The 18,835-nt window shown below is 51.7% G+C and overlaps 1 protein-coding gene and 1 pseudogene across 2 annotated transcripts in view, besides 5 other annotated features; both read right to left on the reverse strand.

The window, feature by feature from the left end:
• TPTEP2-CSNK1E (TPTEP2-CSNK1E readthrough) overlaps positions 1–18,835 on the reverse strand; it is a 108,225-nt gene that overhangs the window by 47,303 nt on the left and 42,087 nt on the right. The gene's annotated exons all lie outside the window — the stretch shown is intronic.
• Positions 3,562–3,746: a silencer, noted in NCBI's record as "fragment chr22:38737560-38737744 (GRCh37/hg19 assembly coordinates)". NCBI's record gives its function as "represses an EF-1alpha promoter that drives an FKBP-Casp9 reporter gene in an ReSE screen in phorbol 12-myristate 13-acetate-treated (for megakaryocytic differentiation) K562 erythroleukemia cells {active_cell/tissue: K562(+PMA)}" and the evidence as "EXISTENCE:reporter gene assay evidence [ECO:0000049][PMID:32094911]".
• Positions 6,515–7,014: an enhancer, noted in NCBI's record as "H3K4me1 hESC enhancer chr22:38740513-38741012 (GRCh37/hg19 assembly coordinates)". NCBI's record gives its function as "activates a minimal SCP1, AML or CMV promoter by ChIP-STARR-seq in primed H9 embryonic stem cells {active_cell/tissue: H9 hESC(primed)}" and the evidence as "EXISTENCE:reporter gene assay evidence [ECO:0000049][PMID:30033119]".
• Positions 6,672–18,835, reverse strand: part of TPTEP2 (TPTE pseudogene 2) — a 54,262-nt pseudogene continuing 42,098 nt past the window's right edge. Inside the window, exon 5 of the transcript NR_002821.2 lies at positions 6,672–6,748. The product of NR_002821.2 is annotated as a TPTE pseudogene 2 (transcript). The remainder of the gene's footprint in view (positions 6,749–18,835) is intronic.
• Positions 9,107–10,004: an enhancer, noted in NCBI's record as "H3K4me1 hESC enhancer chr22:38743105-38744002 (GRCh37/hg19 assembly coordinates)". NCBI's record gives its function as "activates a minimal SCP1, AML or CMV promoter by ChIP-STARR-seq in primed H9 embryonic stem cells {active_cell/tissue: H9 hESC(primed)}" and the evidence as "EXISTENCE:reporter gene assay evidence [ECO:0000049][PMID:30033119]".
• Positions 10,219–10,378: an enhancer, noted in NCBI's record as "active region_19010". NCBI's record gives its function as "activates an Ori minimal core promoter by ATAC-STARR-seq in GM12878 lymphoblastoid cells {active_cell/tissue: GM12878}" and the evidence as "EXISTENCE:reporter gene assay evidence [ECO:0000049][PMID:35858748]".
• Positions 15,209–15,448: a silencer, noted in NCBI's record as "silent region_13716". NCBI's record gives its function as "represses an Ori minimal core promoter by ATAC-STARR-seq in GM12878 lymphoblastoid cells {active_cell/tissue: GM12878}" and the evidence as "EXISTENCE:reporter gene assay evidence [ECO:0000049][PMID:35858748]".

Genomic DNA, 18,835 nt, shown 5'->3' on the forward strand with positions numbered 1-18,835 from the left:
TTTTTTTAATTAAAAAAAATTTTTTTTTGATACGGAGTCTTGCTCTGTTGCCCAGGCTGGAGTGCAATGGTGCAATTTCGGCTCACTGCAACCTCTGCCTCCCAGGTTCAAGCGATTCTCCTGCCTCAGCCTCCCGAGTAGCTGGGACTATAGGTGCCCGCCACCACACCCAGCTAGTTTTTTGTATTTTTGGTAGAGACAGGTTTTCACCATGTTAGCCAGGATGGTCTCGATCTCCTGACCTCGTGATCCACCTGCCTTGGCCTCCCAAAGTGCTGGGATTACAGGCGTGAGCCATCACATACGACCTAATTTTTGTATTTTTAGTCAAGGCGGGGTTTCACCACATTGGCCAGGCTGGTCTCGAACTCCTGAACTCAGATGATCCGCCTGCCTTGGCCTCTCAAAGTGCAGGGATTACAGACGTGAGCCGCTACGCCCAGCTAAGTTTCTTCATTCCTTAAAAAGTTCCCAGTTTCAGGGCACGGTGGCTCACACCTGTAATCCCAGCACTTTGGGACGCCAAGGCAGGTGGATCACTTGAGGTCAGGACTTTGAGACCAGCCTGGCCAACATGGTGAAACCCCATCTCTACTAAAAATACAAAAATTAGCCAGGCAGGGCGGCACACATCTGTAATCCCAGCTACTCAGGAGGCTGAGGCAGGAGAATTGCTTGAACCCATGAGGCGGAGGTTGCAGTGAGCTGATATCACACCATTGCATTCTAGCCTGAGTGACAACAGCAAAACTCCATCTAAAAAATAAAAATAAATAAAAACGTAAAAATAAAAACACAAAAATTAGCCAAGCATGATGCCGGGCACCTGTAATCCCAGCTACTCAGGAAACTGGGGCAGGAGAATGGCTTGAGCCCAGGAGGCGGAGGCTGCAGTGAGCTGAGATCACGCCACTGCACTTCAGCCTGGGTGACAGAGCAAGACTCAAGAAAAAAAAAAAGTTCCCATTAGTTGAGCACCTACTATAATCTAGGATAAGCCTCTTTCATGTAATCCTTGCCATAGTCCTGGGGTAGGAATTCTTATTTGTTCATGTTACAGATGAGGAAAGGAGGGTCTGAGAGGTTGATTCCCAAAGTCACATGTGTAGAAAGGGCCAGAGGCCTTTCTGTTCTAAGCCCAACAGGGCCTCTTAGGCAAACTCCTGGTTAGCCACCAGGCTAAAAGGCTACCAGCCCCCACTGGGCTAAAGGGAGTCAAGGAGCAGAGTTTGTTTACCCTTGGGCAACAGCTTCAAAAAAAGGCAGTGTGGAAGGAAACCACAGAGTGTGAGGGGCAGGAGTCTCACCCTGCCTTCTTCCTGAGGGGGAGCCCCTTCCTCCCACCCAGGGGGCTTTGAGGCTGGCAGTGCCAACCCAGAAAGGACCCAGGGAGGACAGAGCTTCCCAGAGTTCAAGCTGCAAGACTGAGAGGTCAGCTATCAGGCCCATCCACCAATAATGTAATATATATATTATACATAATATATATATTACATATAAATATATAATATATAAAAGTATATATAATTTATACATTGTATAAAATATATAATTTATATATTGTATAAATTATATATTTTATACAATGTATAAAGTATATATTTTATACAATATATAAAATATATAATTTATACAATATATAAAATATATAATTTATACAATATATAAAATATATAATTTATACAATATATAAAATATATAATTTATACAATATATAAAATATATAATTTATACAATATATAAAATATATAATTTATACAATATATAAAATATATAATTTATACAATATATAAAATATATAATTTATACAATATATAAAATATATAATTTATACAATATATAAAATATATATTTTATACAATATGTAAAATATATAATTTATACAATATATAAAATATATATTTTATACAATATATAAAATATATATTTTATATATAGCCGGGCACAATGGCTCAAGCCTGTAATTCCAGCACTTTGGGAAGCCAAGACGGGCAGATCACCTGAGGTTCTGGAGTTTGAGATCAATCTGGCCAACATGGTGAAACCCTGTCTCTACGAAAAATACAAAAATTAGATGGACATGGTGGCAGGAGCCTGTAATCCCAGCTACTCAGGAGGCTGAGGCAGGAGAATCACTTGAAACAGGGAGGCAGAGGTTGCAGTGAGCCGAGATTGCGCTACTGCACTCCGGCATGGGCAACAAGAGCAAAAGTCCATCTCAAAAGAAGAAAAGAAAATGTCAGTAGCTTTTAGTATATTCACAAGGTTTTGCAACCACTAATACTATCTAATTCCCCAATTTTTTTTTTTTTTGAGATGGAGTCTCACTCTGTCACCTAGGCTGGAGTGCTGTGGCATGATCTCAGCTCACTGCAACCTCCACCTCCCAGGTTCAAGCGATTCTCCTGCCTCAGCCTCCTGGGTAGCTGGGACAGGCACCTGCCACCATGCCTGGCTAATTTTTGTAGTTCCGGTAGAGATGGGGCTTCACCACGTAGGCCAGGCTGGTCTTGAACTCCTGACCTCAAGCAATCTGTCCACTTCGGCCTCCCAAAGCAGTGGGACTACAGGCGTGAGGCACCATGCCCAGCCTAATTCCCCAATATTTTTATTGACCTAAAAAAAACCCCCAGCTGGGCGCGGTGGCTCACGCCTGTAATCCCAGCACTTTGGGAGGCTGAGGCAGGCGGATCACGAGATCAGGAGATCGAGACCATCCTGGCTAACACGGTGAAACCCCGTCTCTACTAAAAACACAAAAAATTAGCCAGGGGTAGTGGCGGGCACCTGTAGTCCCAGCTACTCGGGAGGCTGAGGCAGGAGAATGGTGTGAACCCGGGAGGCACAGCCTGCAGTGAGCCGAGATCGCGCCACTGCACTCCAGCCTGGGCCACAGAGCAAGACTCTGCCTCAAAAAAAAAAAAGAAAAAAAAAAAAGAAACCCCATCTCCACTCGCAGTCGTTCCCCACTTCAGCCCTCCCCCCAGCCTCTGGGGACCGCTAATGGACTTTTGTCTCTGGATTTGCCTCTTTTGGACAGCTCATGTAAATGGAGACAGCGTCTGGCTTCTTTCACTCAGTGTCGTGTTTTCAAGGTTCATCCATGTTGTAATGTGTGTCAGGTCCTCCTTCCTTTTCGTCACCGAGTAAGATTCTAGACTGAGCCCCACAGTCTGGATTTAGTCGACTGCATCCTTGTTGGGGTTTTTTTTTTGTTTTGTTTTGTTTTTCTGAGATGGAGTCTCTGTCATCCAGGCTGGAGTGCAGTGGTGTGATCTCAGCTCACTGCAAACTCTGCCTCCTGGGTTCAAGCGATTCTTCTGCCTGAGCCTCCCAAGTAGCTGGGACAGGCACCTGCCATCACGCCTGGCTAATTTTTGTAGCTTTACTAGAGACAGGGTTTCACCACGTTGGCCAGGTTGGTCTTGAACTCCTGACCTCAAGTGATCTGCCCACCTTGGCTTCCCAAAGTGCTAGGATTACAGGCCACCGCGTCCAGCCCTCGTGGGTATTTTGTTTGTTTGTTTGTTTTTTTACGGAGTCTTGCTCTGTCGCCTAGGCTGGAGTGCAGTGGTGTAATCTCGGCTCACTGCAAACTCTGCCTCCTGGGTTCAAGAGATTCTCCTGCCTCACCCTCCCAAGTAGCTAGTATTACAGGCATTCACCACCATCCCTAGCTAATTTTTGCATTTTTAATAGAGACAGGGTTTCACCAGGTTGGCCAGGCTGGTCTTGAATTCCTGACCTCAGATGACCTGCCCCCCTCAGCTTCCCAAAGTGCTAGGATGACAGGCGTGAGCCACCGCACCCAGCCCTCGGGTTTTTTTTTTTTTTTAAATGTGCTCCACTACCCCCATATTTCCCTAAGCTGGTAATCAAGTGTAGACCCTAGAGGCTGGTAGCTTGATTTGATTTGAATTCAACAATGATTTTATCAAGAATATTTTGGCCAGGTGTGGTGGCTCACGCCTGTAATCCCAGCACTTTGGGAGGCCAAGGCCGGTGGATCACGAGGTCAGGAGTTCCAGATCAGCCTGGCCAACATGGTGAAACCCTGTCTCTAGTAAAAATACAAAAATTAGCAGGGCATGGTGGTGGGTGCCTGTTATCCCAGCTGCTTGGGAGGCTGAGACAGAAGAATCACTTGATCCCGGGAGAGGGAGGTTGCAGTGAGCAGAGATTGCACCACTGCACTCCAGCCTGGGCAACAGAGCAAGACTCCTTCTCAAAAGGAGTCTTTTTTTTTTTTTTGAGACAGAGTCTGGCTCTGTCGCCCAGGCTGGAGTGCAGTGGCGCTATCTCAGCTCACTGCAAGCTCTGCCTCCTGGGTTCACACCATTCTCCTGCCTCAGCCTCCCGAGTAGCTGGGACTACAGGTGCCCGCCACCACACCCGACTAATTTTTGTGTATTTTTAGTAGAGACAGGGTTTCACCGTGTTAGCCAGGATGGTCTCAATCTCCTGACCTCGTGATCCACGTGCCTCGGCCTCCCAAAGTGCTGAGATTACAGGCGTGAGCCACAGCGCCCGGCCAAAAAAAGAATATTTCATAGATGACATTGTGTCCTTCCTGGTGCACCAGAGAAGGAGGCCCATAGGGTCGGGCCGCCCTACCTTTTAGTGACCTTAAGGTTAATCAGTGGCTTTAGGTGTTGTTAGCCTCATCCTTCTGCTGCAAAGTTTCCCATCAATCTTTTACCCAGTGGATTTAGCATCCATTGGTGATCATTGACCAGGCATGCAATTTCACCCTTCAGTTTGTAGATTAAAAAACTGGCCCAGACAGGCGTAGTGACTCATGCCTGTAAGCCCAGCACTTTGGGAGGCCAAGGCAGGTGGATCACCAGAGGTCAGGAGTTCGAGACCAGCCTGTCCAACATGGTGAGACCCCGTCTCTACTAAATAATACAAAAATTAGCTGGGCGTGGTGGTGGGTGCCTGTAATCCCAGCTACTCGGGAGGCTGAGGCAGGAGAATCACTTAAACCCAGAAGGCAGAGGTTGAGTGAGCAGAGATCTTGCCATTGCACTCCAGCCTGGGCAACAGAGCAAGAGTCCATCTCAAAAAACAGAAAAGGAAAAGAAAAAAGAAAAAAAACCCTCAAAAACTGGCCAGGAGCAGTGGCTCACACCTGTAATCCCAGGCTGAAGCGGGCAGATCACTTGAGGTCAGGAGTTCAAGACCAGCCCGACCAACATGGTGAAACCCCATACTTACTAAAAGATACAAAAATTAGCCGGGCATTGTGGCGGGCGCCTGTAGTCCTAGCCACTTGGGAGGCTGAGGCAGTAGAACAGCTTGAATCCAGGAGGCGGAGGTTGCAGTGAGCCAAGATGGCGCCACTGCACTTCAGCCTGGGTGACAGAGCAAGACTCCATCTCAAACAAAAAACAAAAACCAAAAAACGGAGGCCACGAAGAAGAGAAGGGATTTGCTCAAGATCCCAAGACTAGTCATAATCGATAGCAACTACACATTGTGCCCTTGCTCTGCGCCTGGGACTGTTCTAAGGGCTTTTCATGAGCTGACTCATTTAATCCTCTCAACAACCCTCTGTGGTTGGCCTTATATTATGTTCCTCCTTTTCAAATGAGGAAACTGAGGAGGCCCCAAAATGGTGGTGGTGCCACCTTTTTTTTTTTGAGACGGAGTCTTGCTCTGTCGCCCAGGCTGGAGTGCAGTGGCCCAATCTCAGCTCACTGCAAGCTCCGCCTCCCGGGTTCACGCCATTCTCCTGCCTCAGCCTCCCCAGTAGCTGGGACTACAGGCACCTGCCACCACGCCCGGCTAATTTTTTTATATTTTTAGTAGAGACGGAGTTTCACCATGTTAGCCAGGATGGTCTCGATCTCCTGACCTCATGATCTGCCCACCTCGGCCTCCCAAAGTGCTGAGATTACAGGCGTGAGCCACCGTGCCCGGCCGAGGTGCCACCTTTGATGCATCGGTTGCTAATTCACGTTGGGAGATCCTGGAGGACCGAGAAACCAGAAAACACGGTTCTTGCTCTGGTAAGTGTAGACATGGACAAGGTGATCAGAGCCATAAGAGAGAAGGGATGGGAGTCACGAAGTCTTCCCAGAGGAGCTTCACTGCAGCTGGGCCTTCAAGTATGTGTAGGAGTTTGCCAAGGCAGTAAAGGCAGAGGCCCACCAACTGAGTCAGGCCTGGGGTGCGATTTGGGCCGGGGCAACGACTCCATTCCTCATCACAGACAACCTTCCATGAATCTCTGCCCTTGGGCAGGAGGAAGAGGGAGAGGGTGTGGCTTGGCCCATTGCATACTTGGAGTCTGTAGACAGCATTACAAGATGAGGATTGCTGAGAGCTCTGGACTAGGAGTCTGAAGATGAACCTTCTTCTTCTTCTTTTCTTTTCTTTTTTTTTCTTTTGAGACAGAGTTTCACTCTTGTTGCCCAGGCTGGAGCGCAATGGTGAGATCTCGACTCGCCGCAACGTCTGCCTCCCGGGTTCAAGCGATTCTCCTGCCTCAGCCTCCCAAGTAGCTGGGATTACAGGCATGCACCACCACGCCCGGCTAATTTTGTATTTTTAGTAGAGATGGAGTTTCTCCATGTTGGTCAGGCTGGTCTCGAACTCCCAACATCAGATGATCTGCCCGCCTCGGCCTCCCAAAGTGCTTGGATTACAGGTGTGAGCCACTGCGTCCAGCCCTAAGCTGAACCTTCTGTGGGCTGCAGAAGACGCCTGGGTGCTGTACTCAGGTGCAGTCCCTCCCCTCAAAGGCCTAAGATAAACGGATAGAGATGGAACTGAGGGTGAGTCGTTCCCAGCCCAGAATGGTGAGAGGTCACCCAGCTCTGGTCCTAGCTCCAGCTTCAAGATTCAGACCACAGAGATTCACCCGGACCATTGACTTGAAAAGAGCCCCAGCAAACTTAGATTCAAAGTGCCCCTTGAAATATATGTGTATTTGCTTCTATGTACATACAGCATCTCTGGATGGGCCCAGAAGAAAAATATTTGCGAGTCATGCTTTTTTTTTTTTTTTTTTTTTTGAGACAGAGTATCGCTCTTTTGCCCAGGCCAGAATGCAGTGGCGCAATCTCGGCTCACTGCAAGCTCCACCTCCCGGGTTCACGCCATTCTCCTGCCTCAGCCTCCCGAGTAGCTGGGACTATAGGCGCCCTCCACCACACCCGGCTAATTTTTTGTATTTTTAGTAGAGACAGGGTTTCACCATGTTAACCAGGATGGTCTTGGTCTCCTGACCTCGTGATCCGCCCGCCAAGGCCTCCCAAAGTGCTGGGATTACAGGCGTAAGCCACCGCACCCAGCCCATGCTTTCTTTAGTATATAAAAAGCAGTTACAAATCAATAAGAAAAATACTAATAATATAATATAAAAATGACTAAGAATAGTAAGAGACTGTTCCTAGGAAAGAAAATACAAAGGTTGGGGACAGGGTGGAAGGGAAACTGAGAGGGAAGGAGACTGTACTGTACCCTCTTTGGTAACTTCTTTTTTTTTTTTGAGACAGGGTCTCACTCTGTTGCCCAGGCTGGAGTGCAGTGGTGTGATCTTGGCTCACTACAACCTCCGCCTCCCAGGTTCAAGCGATTCTCCTGCCTCAGCCTCCCAAGTAGCTGGGATTACAGGTGTGCACCACCACGCCCGGCTGATTTTTTGTATTTTAGTAGAGATGGGGTTTCACCATGTTGGCCAGGCTGGTCTCGAACTCCTAACCTCAGGCGATTTGCCTGCCTCAGCCTCAAAGTGCTGGGACTGCAGGGGTGAGCCACCGTGCCCGCCCAACTTTTGAATTTTGATGTCTGTGAAAATATTTTCCATTCCATAAATCGAATTAAATTAAATGACCAATTTCCCCATTTTACAGAGAAGGAAACTGGGTCAACAGAATCTGCAGGCTCCTCTCCCACAAGGCCCAGGGTGATGGCAGAATGGTGAGGGAAGGGGACCTGCCACCAGGCATCCTTGGGAGGGCGCTCCCCTTGGCTTCCTGATTGAATGCTCAGCTGCCTCTCCAGTTTGCAGATGTGGAAATGGAGGCAAAGAGTGCGAGAAGGACACCCCAGGCTCACTGGCTGGGGTACAGTGGGGACCTAACACCCTCCTTGAGCCCTGTCACCACACAATGCCACCCCCAGCTAGGCATGACCAATTTCTCATTTTACTGGCGCCGGCCTTCTTCAGCGTCAACTTTCTGGTCGTTTGACCAAAGTGGACCATTGTTTCCCCAAATTACACTTTAATAAAAAAAAAAGAAGAAAAGCTAAGCCGATTGAATGATGGTCACGGGACTGGACAATTTCAAAGCAGAGTTATTGGGGACTTGACTCAGCTGGCCATGCCATTCATTAGATTACTTGGAGAGTTGACTTTAAATTTAGTAGGCATTGAATTCACTGGCTTTCTGAATAGGCCTGGATTTGGAAAGAAATTCAATTAACTGGTTCTTTGACTAAATTAACAGGGTTCTTTTTCTGATTGAATTATGGCAGTTTCTTGGAAGACTTCACTTGCCTCTTCCCCGAAGCTTCCGTGGACCTTACCAGGGAGTCCTGAGGGCCGTGGGCGAGTCCCGCAGCTCCAGCGGCTGATTCTGAAGGCTGCTTCCTTCCGAGTTGGGCCCTGGGCCACTTCTCCTAGGAGCCCCTTCCTCTGGGTCCACACTGGGTGCTAGCGAGGTGTTTCTAGGACTGTTTCCCCAGCAGGCTCTCAGCTCTTTCGGGACAGGGACTGTGGGGCTCACCTGGGTCCGGGCGCTGGACAGAGGTCTTAGCTCAAAGCAGGGGCTGGGGCAGGATGGGAGTGAATTCAGTGGAACCGACCCCAGGCCTTCTGATTCCAAGGCTGAGGGACTCACGCTTCTGCCCCACTGGGACATCGAGCTTAGTTCTTCTCTCAGACAAGGCAGGTGCTTCCCAATTGACTCCAGTCATCCACCACCCCACCCCATTCCGGCCAGCAATGAGCACCCACAAGGCCAGATCTCCAAAGTGCACCAGGCTTTACAGTTTACAAAGAGCTCCCACCTTCTCTCTGTAATCCTCAGAACGGTCCATGAAGGCAAGGGGGTCTCTTCCCTCTTTTACAGTTGAATGGCCCAGGGCTCCCAGAGGGGCTAGGCCTTGCCTAAGGTCACGTGGCCAGTGGGCAGGGAATATCAGGACTCCAGGCTGAGCCCAGGAGGTGTGCAGAGATCATAGGGGGCCCTCATCCTGTGCTAGAAGCAAGGAGGGATGAGGGCTGGAGGGTTTCAGCTCACGGAACACAAGGTTCAGCTGAGCTGGGGTCGGTAGAAGGTCAGAGAGGATGCCCGGCACTCCCAGGAGGTGACAGGTGGCCACAGGAGTGGGAGGGGGAAACGGAAGAGGACTTGCTCACTCAAGTGTCAGCAGATCCGAGGGCCTGCCAGGGGCATGAGCAGGAGCCTGGCGGACCCCCCCGCAGACTGCTGCCCTCAAGAGATGCAGGGCCAGGGGTGAGGAGGAGGCAGGGAGGCTACTCACCCTTGCTTTGCAGGATGAGAAAAGCTGCGGAGAAGGAAGAGGGCAGCTCTACCTGGGATGATGGCCAGGAAGGCAGTGCAGAGGCGGTGGCGTTGACCTGGTGGGGAAATGATCATTCTCCTGGCCAACCCGTGCCCCTCTCTGTCCTAAATGCTTTTCACACTCTGCCCCTGGGAGGCTGGTGTTATTAGCATCCCCACTTAACAATGGCTGGAGAACCCTGGTGGCAGGGGTCAGTGACTTGCTCAAGGTCACATGGCTAGTCTTGAACCCTGGCAAGGGGGCTACAGGGCCTGGCTCTTGACCCCAGCTGCCTCGGAGCACAGAGGACCCCCAGGCAGGGGACAGCAAGAGCAAGCCCATGGGGCTGAGAAGGGGTGGCTTTCGGAGGACAGGCTTTTCGCTCACTTTTGCTTTTTGCCTAAAAGCGGAGGGAAGAGCAAGCTGGAGGTGAGCAGACTCAGTTGAGTCCCCACCATGTGAGCTCCCGACTGTGCAACTCCACCTCTCCAAGCCTCAGTCTTCCAGTCTATAAGATGGGGCTAAGATTCCCGCCTTGAAGCTTATGAAGACAAAACCCAATGCCTGGTGTATACCAGGTACTCAGGAAAGTGGGTTCCTGTCCCCCCTCACACCCCTGGGGAGGTCAGGGACAGAGTCTGGAAAGGTCTGTTAGTCCAGGCCACCTTGTATACAGAGAGCAGGCTTGTCACTGGCCAGAGGCATCCTCCAGAGAAGGAAATTCTTTGAACCTCCAGATGCTGATGGCACGGGGGTGACGGCGGTGATGAGGAGAATGGGGATGAGTATGAAGGCGGTGACGAAGAGGGTAATTCTGGTGACTAAGTTCTGGTCACTCCCTGACATTCAGGCAGGCCAGGACAGGCTTGGCTAAGCACTGAGCATAGCTCTGAGAGGCGGGAGGTGGTGAGTGAGTGTCAGCACCCAGCTAACTCTGCTATGGGGATGATGCACCTGTCACTCTGTCACCTGACCGTGCCCCACCCTCGGGTCATGGCCTTGATAATTCCCTCTGTCCCCGCTTTTGCTGCTCTGACGGAGCACATCCTGTGGGATTGGCTGCCCAGGAGGCCACATTTCCTAGAAGGGGAGACACCTCCCTGAGGTCACACAACAAAGCTCGAGCAGGACAGGAACCCAGGGGTCCTGACTCTCTTGGGTTGTCCCTACCAGTCCCACCTCCTCCATGGAGTTCAGAGGTTGGACAGGAAGTCTGCAGTGAACCAATCCGTAGGCTGATTCCAGCTGAGCCCCTACTTTGTGTTGGCACCAGGAAGGGCCTGGAATTTGTCAAGACAGGGCCATCAGAGGATGCCCCTGTGAGCCATCCAGGAGGCAGAGGAGGGAGCAGGGTCAGCCTGCCAGGCTGGGGAAGGGCATTCCTAGAGGAAGGGAAGGCGAAGGCCAAGGGGTAGCAGGGACGGGCAAGGTATGGAGGTCTAGACGGAAGTAGAGGCTGCTGGGAGGCTGCTCCGAAGCTGCTCCTTGAGCTGGGTACAGGTGCCCACAGGGCTAGGGCAGGGCCTGCACAAGGAGTGATGGGAGAGGTCAGCGGGTCAAGTGCCAGGAGCCTTAAATGCCAGACCAAAGCCTCTGGACTGTGTCTTGTAGACCACAGGGGTCCTAGCAGGTTTTTAGCAGAGGACAGAGCTCAGGGTCTTCCCAGATGGCAGGGATGTGCGTGACAGCTGGGGTAGGTGCAGGGCGGATGGTAAGACTCTAAGGCTCCCTGAGTTACGGTGACCAAGAGGCCTTGTGAGCGCGTAGCATCTTGTCCACGTGACTCTGTGTGGGGAGGGCTGGGAGATAGCAGGGTAATGGGCCCCTGGGCAGTAAGACCTCATTTTTTTGTTGTTGTTGTGTTTAAGACAGGGTCTCGCTCTGTCACCCAGGCTGTGCGGTGGTGTGATCACAGCTCACTGCAGCCTCATCCTCCCAGGCTCAAGCAAGCCTCTCACCTCACGCTCCCAAGTAGCTGGGACCACAGGCACACACCACCACACCCAGCTGATATTTTTATTTTTTGTAGAGACAGGGTCTTACTCTGTTGTCCAGGCTGGTGTCACACTCCTGGACTCAAGCAATTTACCCACCTCAGTCTCCCAAAGGGCTCGGATTAAAGGCATGAACCACTGCACCTGGACTCTTTAATTTTTTAAGTAAAAATTATTTATTTACTCTGGAGACAGGGTCTTGTTCTGTCCCCCAGACCGGAGTGCAGTGGTGCAATCATGGCTCACTACAGCCTCAACCTCCTCCTGTATAGCTGGACTACAGGCGCACGTTACCACACCTGGCTAATTTTTTTTTTTTTGAGACGATGTTTTGCTCTGTCGCCCAGGCTGGAGTGCAGTGGTGCAATCTCGGCTCACTGCAAGCTCCACCTCCCAGGTTCACGCCATTCTCCTGCCTCAGCCTCCCGAGTAGCTGGGATTACGGGCGCCCGCCACCATGCCCGGCTAATTTTTTGTATTTTTAGTAGAGACGGGGTTTCCCCGTGTTAGCCAGGATGGTCTCGATCTCCTGACCTCGTGATCCGCCCACCTCGGCCTCCCAAAGTGCTAGGATTACAGGCGTGAGCCACTGTGCCCGGCCCACACCTGGCTAATTTTTAAAAAATTTTTGTTGAGACGGGGTCTCACTATGTTCCCCAGGCGGGTCTCAAGCTCCTAGCCTCAGGGGATCCTCCCACCATGGCCACCAAAGGGCTGGGATTATACATGTGAGCCACCATACCTGGCCAGGAAATAATTTTTAAAATTGCGGTAAAATACCTATCATATAAGATTTGTCATTTTAGCTGGTTTTAAGCGTAGGTTCTGTGGCACTAAGTTTTTTTTTTTGCGGGGGGGAACGGAGTTTCACTCTTGTTGCCTGGGCTGGAGGGCTGGAGTGCAATGTCGTGATCTTGGCTCACTGCAACCTCTGCTTCCTGGGTTCAAGCGATTCTCCTGCCTCAGCTGGTGTTGAACTCCTGACCTCAGGTGATCTGCCTGCCTTGGCCTCCTAAACTGCTGGAATTACAGGCGTAAGCCACCGCACCCGGCCAGCACTAAGTATTAATACATCCACACTGCTGTGCTCCTCCCCCTACTGCCCGCCCCATCTCCAGAGCTTACAGGGAACCACACAACCAGTTCCTTTCCTGAAAGCTCAGAGGACAGGCTGCCTCCTCCAAGGAGTGATCCTGACTTCCCAGGCAGAGAATTTCTGCAATAAGCATTAGGCCTCCCCTGTCCCCAGATCCCTGCCCAGAACCCAAACACGGGTGGAGCCTCCACAGGGCTTCCCACCCAGCCTCCTGCTTCCACAGAACAGGATTCACTCTGGCCAGAGGAGGAAATTCTTTGAACTTCTTTGAAGTCCATGATGGTGATGATGATGATGACGGTGACGGTGATGGTGATGAGAATAATGGTGATGGTGATGATGGAGAGGAGGAGGAATCTCTGGCTCTCCTGCTGATGTCTTTCTCTGACCAGTACAGTCTCTGGAAGGCAGGATCATGTGTTTTCCCACCCTCTGCCAAAGATGGGAGCAGCCTGGGCTGGAATGCAAGGTGGCAGGAGCATACCACAGCTCTGTCACTACGATGGCAACAGCCCCATCCCTGTCCCTCACAATGGCCCTGAGTGTGGCCCTGGTTGTCCCTGCCTGTGTCCTTCCTTGTCCCCCCAACCAGGGAGCTCCTGGAAGACTAGCCTGGGGTGCCCCCTTCACTGGCCCCCCAACATGGCCCCAGATCCAGTGGCTGTAGGGCCTTCCCAGTCTTGCCCTCACTTCCCAGCTGAGGAAGCTGTTCACACAGCCTTCCTGAGGCTGGGCCCCAGGCTGTCCCCAACATCAGCACTGGAACATGGGACCTGGGTGGGCTGAAGGGCCCTCGTTTCTTTTTTTGCTGTGAGTGGGAAGGGCTGGGGAAACTGAGGCACAGGTTAGTGTCTTCATTTGCCCAGGTCACCGTAGAAACCTACTCTCCTTGCTGCTCTCTGGACTCTGGGGCCACATAGGGAGGCGGCCTGCAGGGCCCCTGCCCAAGAGCCAGGTCAGACCGGAAGCTCAGTGCCGGGTGTAGGAGCTGAGCAGACCTGGGCTCAAATTCCAGTCTGCTCACTCCTCTGGTGGTCACAGCGCCTTCCTCACCTGTCAGTGGGGTGCATGATAGTGCAGCCTCTCACACTGGCTGGAGCGGCCAGTAAGGCAAACACCCCAGGTCGGGCCCAGGCTCGAGGCGGGGGCTCAGTGAATATCCCCTCTACCTTCTTTTCCTGCCCGGAGGTCTGAAGGGGGCAGCCCAATGGTATAGACGGGCCTGGAGAGAGGGTGGCTCAAGCCCTGGCCCCGCCTCTGGCCCTCTGTGACCTTCAGTATCTTCGTCGGCCTCTCGTGGCCACTGGGCTGTGTATGCAGGACAATATTCATTCTCAGGGTCTGCAAAGGCCACCCCCAGCCTTGTCCCTACCTCCTGAGGCGGGTGGAAGGGGCTGATGAAGGTCAGCCCAGAGATCTTGGAGTGAAAGGGGCAGAAGGCCCAGGGCTGGCTGCGGTGGACCCTCAGGAGGTGATGAAGCGAGGGTTGTCCCCCGAGTCCAGGGCCTCTGGAGCCTCTCCTTCCTGCTGTGTGCACGGGTCCATAAACAGAAGGGACCGCCAGTTCTGGTTCCATTAGACATCCAAAAAACAGGCTGGGCGCGGTGGCTCACACCTGTAATCCCAGCACTTTGGGAGGCTGAGGCAGGCAGATCATGAGGTCAGGAGTTCGAGACCAGCCTGGCCAACATGGCGAAACCCCATCTCTACTCAAAATACAAAAATTAGCCGGGCATGGTGGTGGGCACCTGTAGTCCCAGCCACTCGGGAGGCTGAGGCAGGAGAATCATTTGAACCCGGGAGGCAGAGGTTGCAGTGAGCCAAGATCGTGCCACTGCACTCCAGCCTGGGCAACAGAGAGACTCTGCCTTAAAAAAAAATCCAAAAAACGTGAGCGAAGGGGTTGCTAAGTCCTTAGACTTAGAGGGAGGCCCCCGGAGACCACTTGGGTGAGAGTCCCAGGCTCAGCTCTGCCCTGTCCTCCATTTGAGGGCTTGGGCAAGTCCCCATACCATTTGGGCCTCAGTTTCCCCATCTGGACATGAGGGTTTCCACTGGCCCAGAGTTGGGCTGGGAGTCAGGTGTGACCTCAGGGGACTCGTGGTGCTCTCCTGGCTCTTGGTCTCCACCTGGGCCTGGACTTTTCTGTGGGACCCATCAGGGACACTCAGCAAACACCCCTTTGCATTTGTTTTATTTATTTATTTATTTTTATTATTTTATTTTATTTTGAGACACAGTTTGCTCTTGTTGCCCAGGCTGGAGTGCAATGGCACAATCTCGGCTCACTGCAACCTCCATCTCCCAGGTTCAAACATTCTCCTGCCTCAGCCTCTCGAGTAGCTGGGATTGCAGGCATGTGCCACCACGCCTGGCTAATTTTGTATTTTTAGTAGAAACGGGGTTTCTCCATGTTGGTCAGGCTGGTCTCGAACTCCCGATCTCAGGTGATCCGCCCGCCTCGGCCTCCCAAAGTGCTGGGATTACAGGAATGAGCCACCGCGCCCGGCTGTTTGTTTTTATGTCTTCTTTTTTCTATTTGTTAATAAAGCTCGCTTGGGGTCAGATTGCTAGGACCAAAAAGGCCCTGGCAGACAGCCTAGTCCATTATATAGACAGAGAAACTGAGGCTCTTGGGGCGAGGCAACCCGCCAGTGCCCTCCGGTCCAGCCCAGGCTGGGACCCGGGAATTCGGGCGGCGCTCGCCTGCTGCCCCCGTGTGGCCGCCGCGGGCGCTGCAGGCGGGTCCTGGTCACGCGGGGCGGGGCTGCTTCTCATTGCCAAGCCCAGGGCGGACGTGGGGAGCACCCATAGGGAGAAGGCCTGCCCTGGCCACCTGAGACTGCGACTCCGAGAAGTGCCCTGAACGAGTTCACCTCCGAAGGGAAACCAGGGACGCTTCCAGGAGGCAGTGTCCTTGGAGCAGGTGGTCGGGAGTGCTCCGGGCGCCCCACCTGGAGGAGTCCAGCCCTGGGACCAATTCTGCGCTGGCCTGAGAACAGCGAGGGCCTCGGAACCCGGCGGAGGGGTTCCAGCGGCTTGGTTGCTGTGGACTCCAGCGAATGCCTTAACCTCTCTGAGCCTCCTTTTTCTCAGCAAGAAATTGGTGTACACACACACACGCGCGCGTGCATACACACACCCTTCACAGGCTGTTGTGAAGATTAAGTTGGTATTCAAAGCATCGGGCCCAGCCCCGGGTTCCAGGTGGGTTGTGTTCAGCCTCTCCCCTCTCCATCCCTCCCTTGCAGGAGTTTGGGCTGGAACTGCTCCTCCCAAAGGTGTCTCCAGGCCCTGTCAAGGCCCAGGGACAGAGCTGGTACTAGCCCTGACCACACAGTGGGAGAGCTTCCTGTGTTTTCCCCTTCCCTTTGATGGGGTCAGGAGGTCTCCATCGAGTGCTAGCCGTCTACACCACCTTATCAACCTCGTCAATGGAGAGGCAGAGGTTGGCTGTGGTCCTGTAATCCCAGCACTTCAGGAGGCCGAGGTGACAGATCACTAGAGCCCAGGAATTACAGACCAGCCTGGGCAACATGGTGAAAACCTCTTTACAAAAAATACAAAAATTAGCCCGGCATGATGGTGTGTGCCTGTGGTCCCAGCTACTTGGGAGGCTGAATTGGGAGGACTGCTTGAGCTCGGGGGTTTGAGGTTGCAGTGAGCCAAGATCGCACCACTGCACTCCAGCCTGGGCAAGAGTGAGACCCTGTCCCCCTAAAAAAAACAAATGAAACCAAAACAAAAGTCAGAGAGGCAGGTCCTGGGCCTTGGGCCCAGCACTGACCAGCAGGAGTACCTGGCTAGAATAGAAACTCCTTGTTTGACTTCATTCTATTTCTTTTCACTTTTACCTTCCATATGTGGCAAGTTGATACTGGTTTCCACTTATGTAGGGATAGGAAGTTTCCTTTTAAAATAAAATTGTTCCAGGCACAGTGGCTCGCGCCTGTAATCCCAGCACTTTGGGAGGCCAAGGCGGGCGGATCACTTGAGGTCAGGATTTCGAGACCAGCCTGGTCAACATAGTGAAACCCCATCTGTACTAAAAATACAAAAATGAGCTGGGCGTGGTGGCACACACATGTAATCCTAGCTATTTAGGAGGCTGAGGCATGAGAATCGCTTGAACCTGGGAGGCAGAGGTTGCAGTGAGCTGAGATCGCGCCGTTGCACTCCAACCTGGGTGACAGAGTGAGACTCAGTTTCAAAAATAAAATAATAAAATTGTTCAAGTAAAAAAAAAGCAAGCTGATTTAAAAACATGTTATTCTATAATTTTAATACAATAGTTTAGAGGTGGGCACTGGAGACAACAAAGGTGACAGTGGAGTGACAAGATCTGAAGCCAGCACTAGAAAGCCTCTACATCCCGCTAATCAGCAGGTGAGGCTGGGCCAGGAGCCTCTCATTCTTTTTTTTTTTTTTTTGAGACAGAGTCTCCCTCTGTCTCCCAGGCTGGAGTGCAGTGGCGCCATCTTGGCTCAGTGCAACCTCCGCCTCCTGGGTTCAAGTGATTCTCCTGCCTCAGCCTCCCGAGTAGCTGGGACTACAGGCGCGTGTCACCACACCCAGCTAATTTTTGTATTTTTGTATTTTTAGTAGAGACAGGGTTTCACCATGTTGGCCAGGATGGTCTTGATCTCTTGATCTCGTGATCTGCCCACGTCAGCCTCCGAAAGTGCTGGGATTACAGGCATGAGCCACTGCGCCCGGCCAGGAGCCTCTCATTCTATGGACTGAAGTCACATATTCAATCCAGCGGGGATATTCTGAGCCCCGCCATGTGCTGGTGCCTGTACCTGCTATATCTCCTCTTTGGTGGGGAGACAAGCCCCCAGCCCAGGCAGGGTCCCCACCAGGCTGGACATAGACCCATTCTGGGTGAATGTGAGGGGAAGAAATTGAGCGTGCCCGGTGGTGGCGGAGCCAGGAACAGGAAGGCCTGGAGCCAGCCTGCGCTCCGCCCATCCAGCAGAGTCTCCACTTGGTGTGGATTTGAAAGTGATCTAACACGTCGTCCTCTCTTGTCACCCAGGCTGGAGGGCAATGGTGCGAACTCGGCTCACTGTAACCACTGCCTCCCAAGTTTAAGCGATTCTCCTGTCTCAGCCTCCCAAGTAGCTGGGATTACAGGCGCCTGCCACTATGCCCAGCTGACTTTTGTATTTTTAGTAGAGACGGGGTTTCACCATGTTGGCCAGGCTGGTCTTGAACTGCTGACCTCAGGTGATCCACCCACCTCGGCCTCCCAAAGTGCTGGGATTATAGGCGTGAACCACCGTGCCTAGCTCCTGACTCTGAATTTATATGCTCCTGATAAGCCATCATTTTCTTACACTTATTCACACATGAGTGCTTAACAATAGAAAAAATGACATACCATTAGTACAGTTAAAAAAAAAAAGTGTTCAGAGAAACTAAGCAGCACAGCAGCGGCATCAGAATCCCTGTGTCAGCTGTTGAACAGTGGAAACACACAGCGGCAGGCGTTCAGTCTCCTGGGATGCTGTGTTTTCATTAAAAGTTTACTGTACACCACATTTTATTTTTTCTTAGGCAAGAAGAAACATCAGAAGCAGCTGAGGGACCAGGAAGCGGGTCCGTTAAGGCTAAGGAGACATTCTGCCGGCCGGCTTTTAAAAATGTTTCCTATGGGCCTGGCGCGGTGGCTCACACCTGTCATCCCAGCACTTTGGGAGGCAGAGGCGGGCGGATCACTAGGTTAAGAGATTGAGAACATCCTGACCAACATGGTGAAACCCCGTCTCTACTAAAAATACAAAAATTAGCCGGGCGTGGTGATGCATGCCTGTAGTCCCAGCTACTCGGGAGGCTGAGGCAGGAGAATCGCTTGAACCTGGGACTCAGAGGTTGCAGTGAGCTGAGATCATACCACTGCACTCCAGCCTGGGCGACTGAGCTGCACTCTGTCTCAAAAAAAAAAAAAAAAAAAAAAAGTTCCCTATGGAGTCATCTGCCTTATTAACAATGGTTTTTGTCTTAGATGACTCCCTGACCTCATCTTCATGTTGTATACCTGCATTTTCACTGCAAACCTGTCACAGAAGGTCGGGTGTGGAATTTTCCACTTTTGGCATCATGTTGGCACTCAAAAAATTTCACATTTTGGAGCATTTCAGAATTTTTGGATTAAGGGTGCTCAGCCTGTAGTCAGATATAGTTGCATAGAGTGAAGGCATTATCCAAATAGATTTTTCAGTGATTG

This window comes from Homo sapiens, chromosome 22 (genome assembly GCF_000001405.40).
Source record: "Homo sapiens chromosome 22, GRCh38.p14 Primary Assembly".
NCBI lineage: Eukaryota > Metazoa > Chordata > Mammalia > Primates > Hominidae > Homo > Homo sapiens.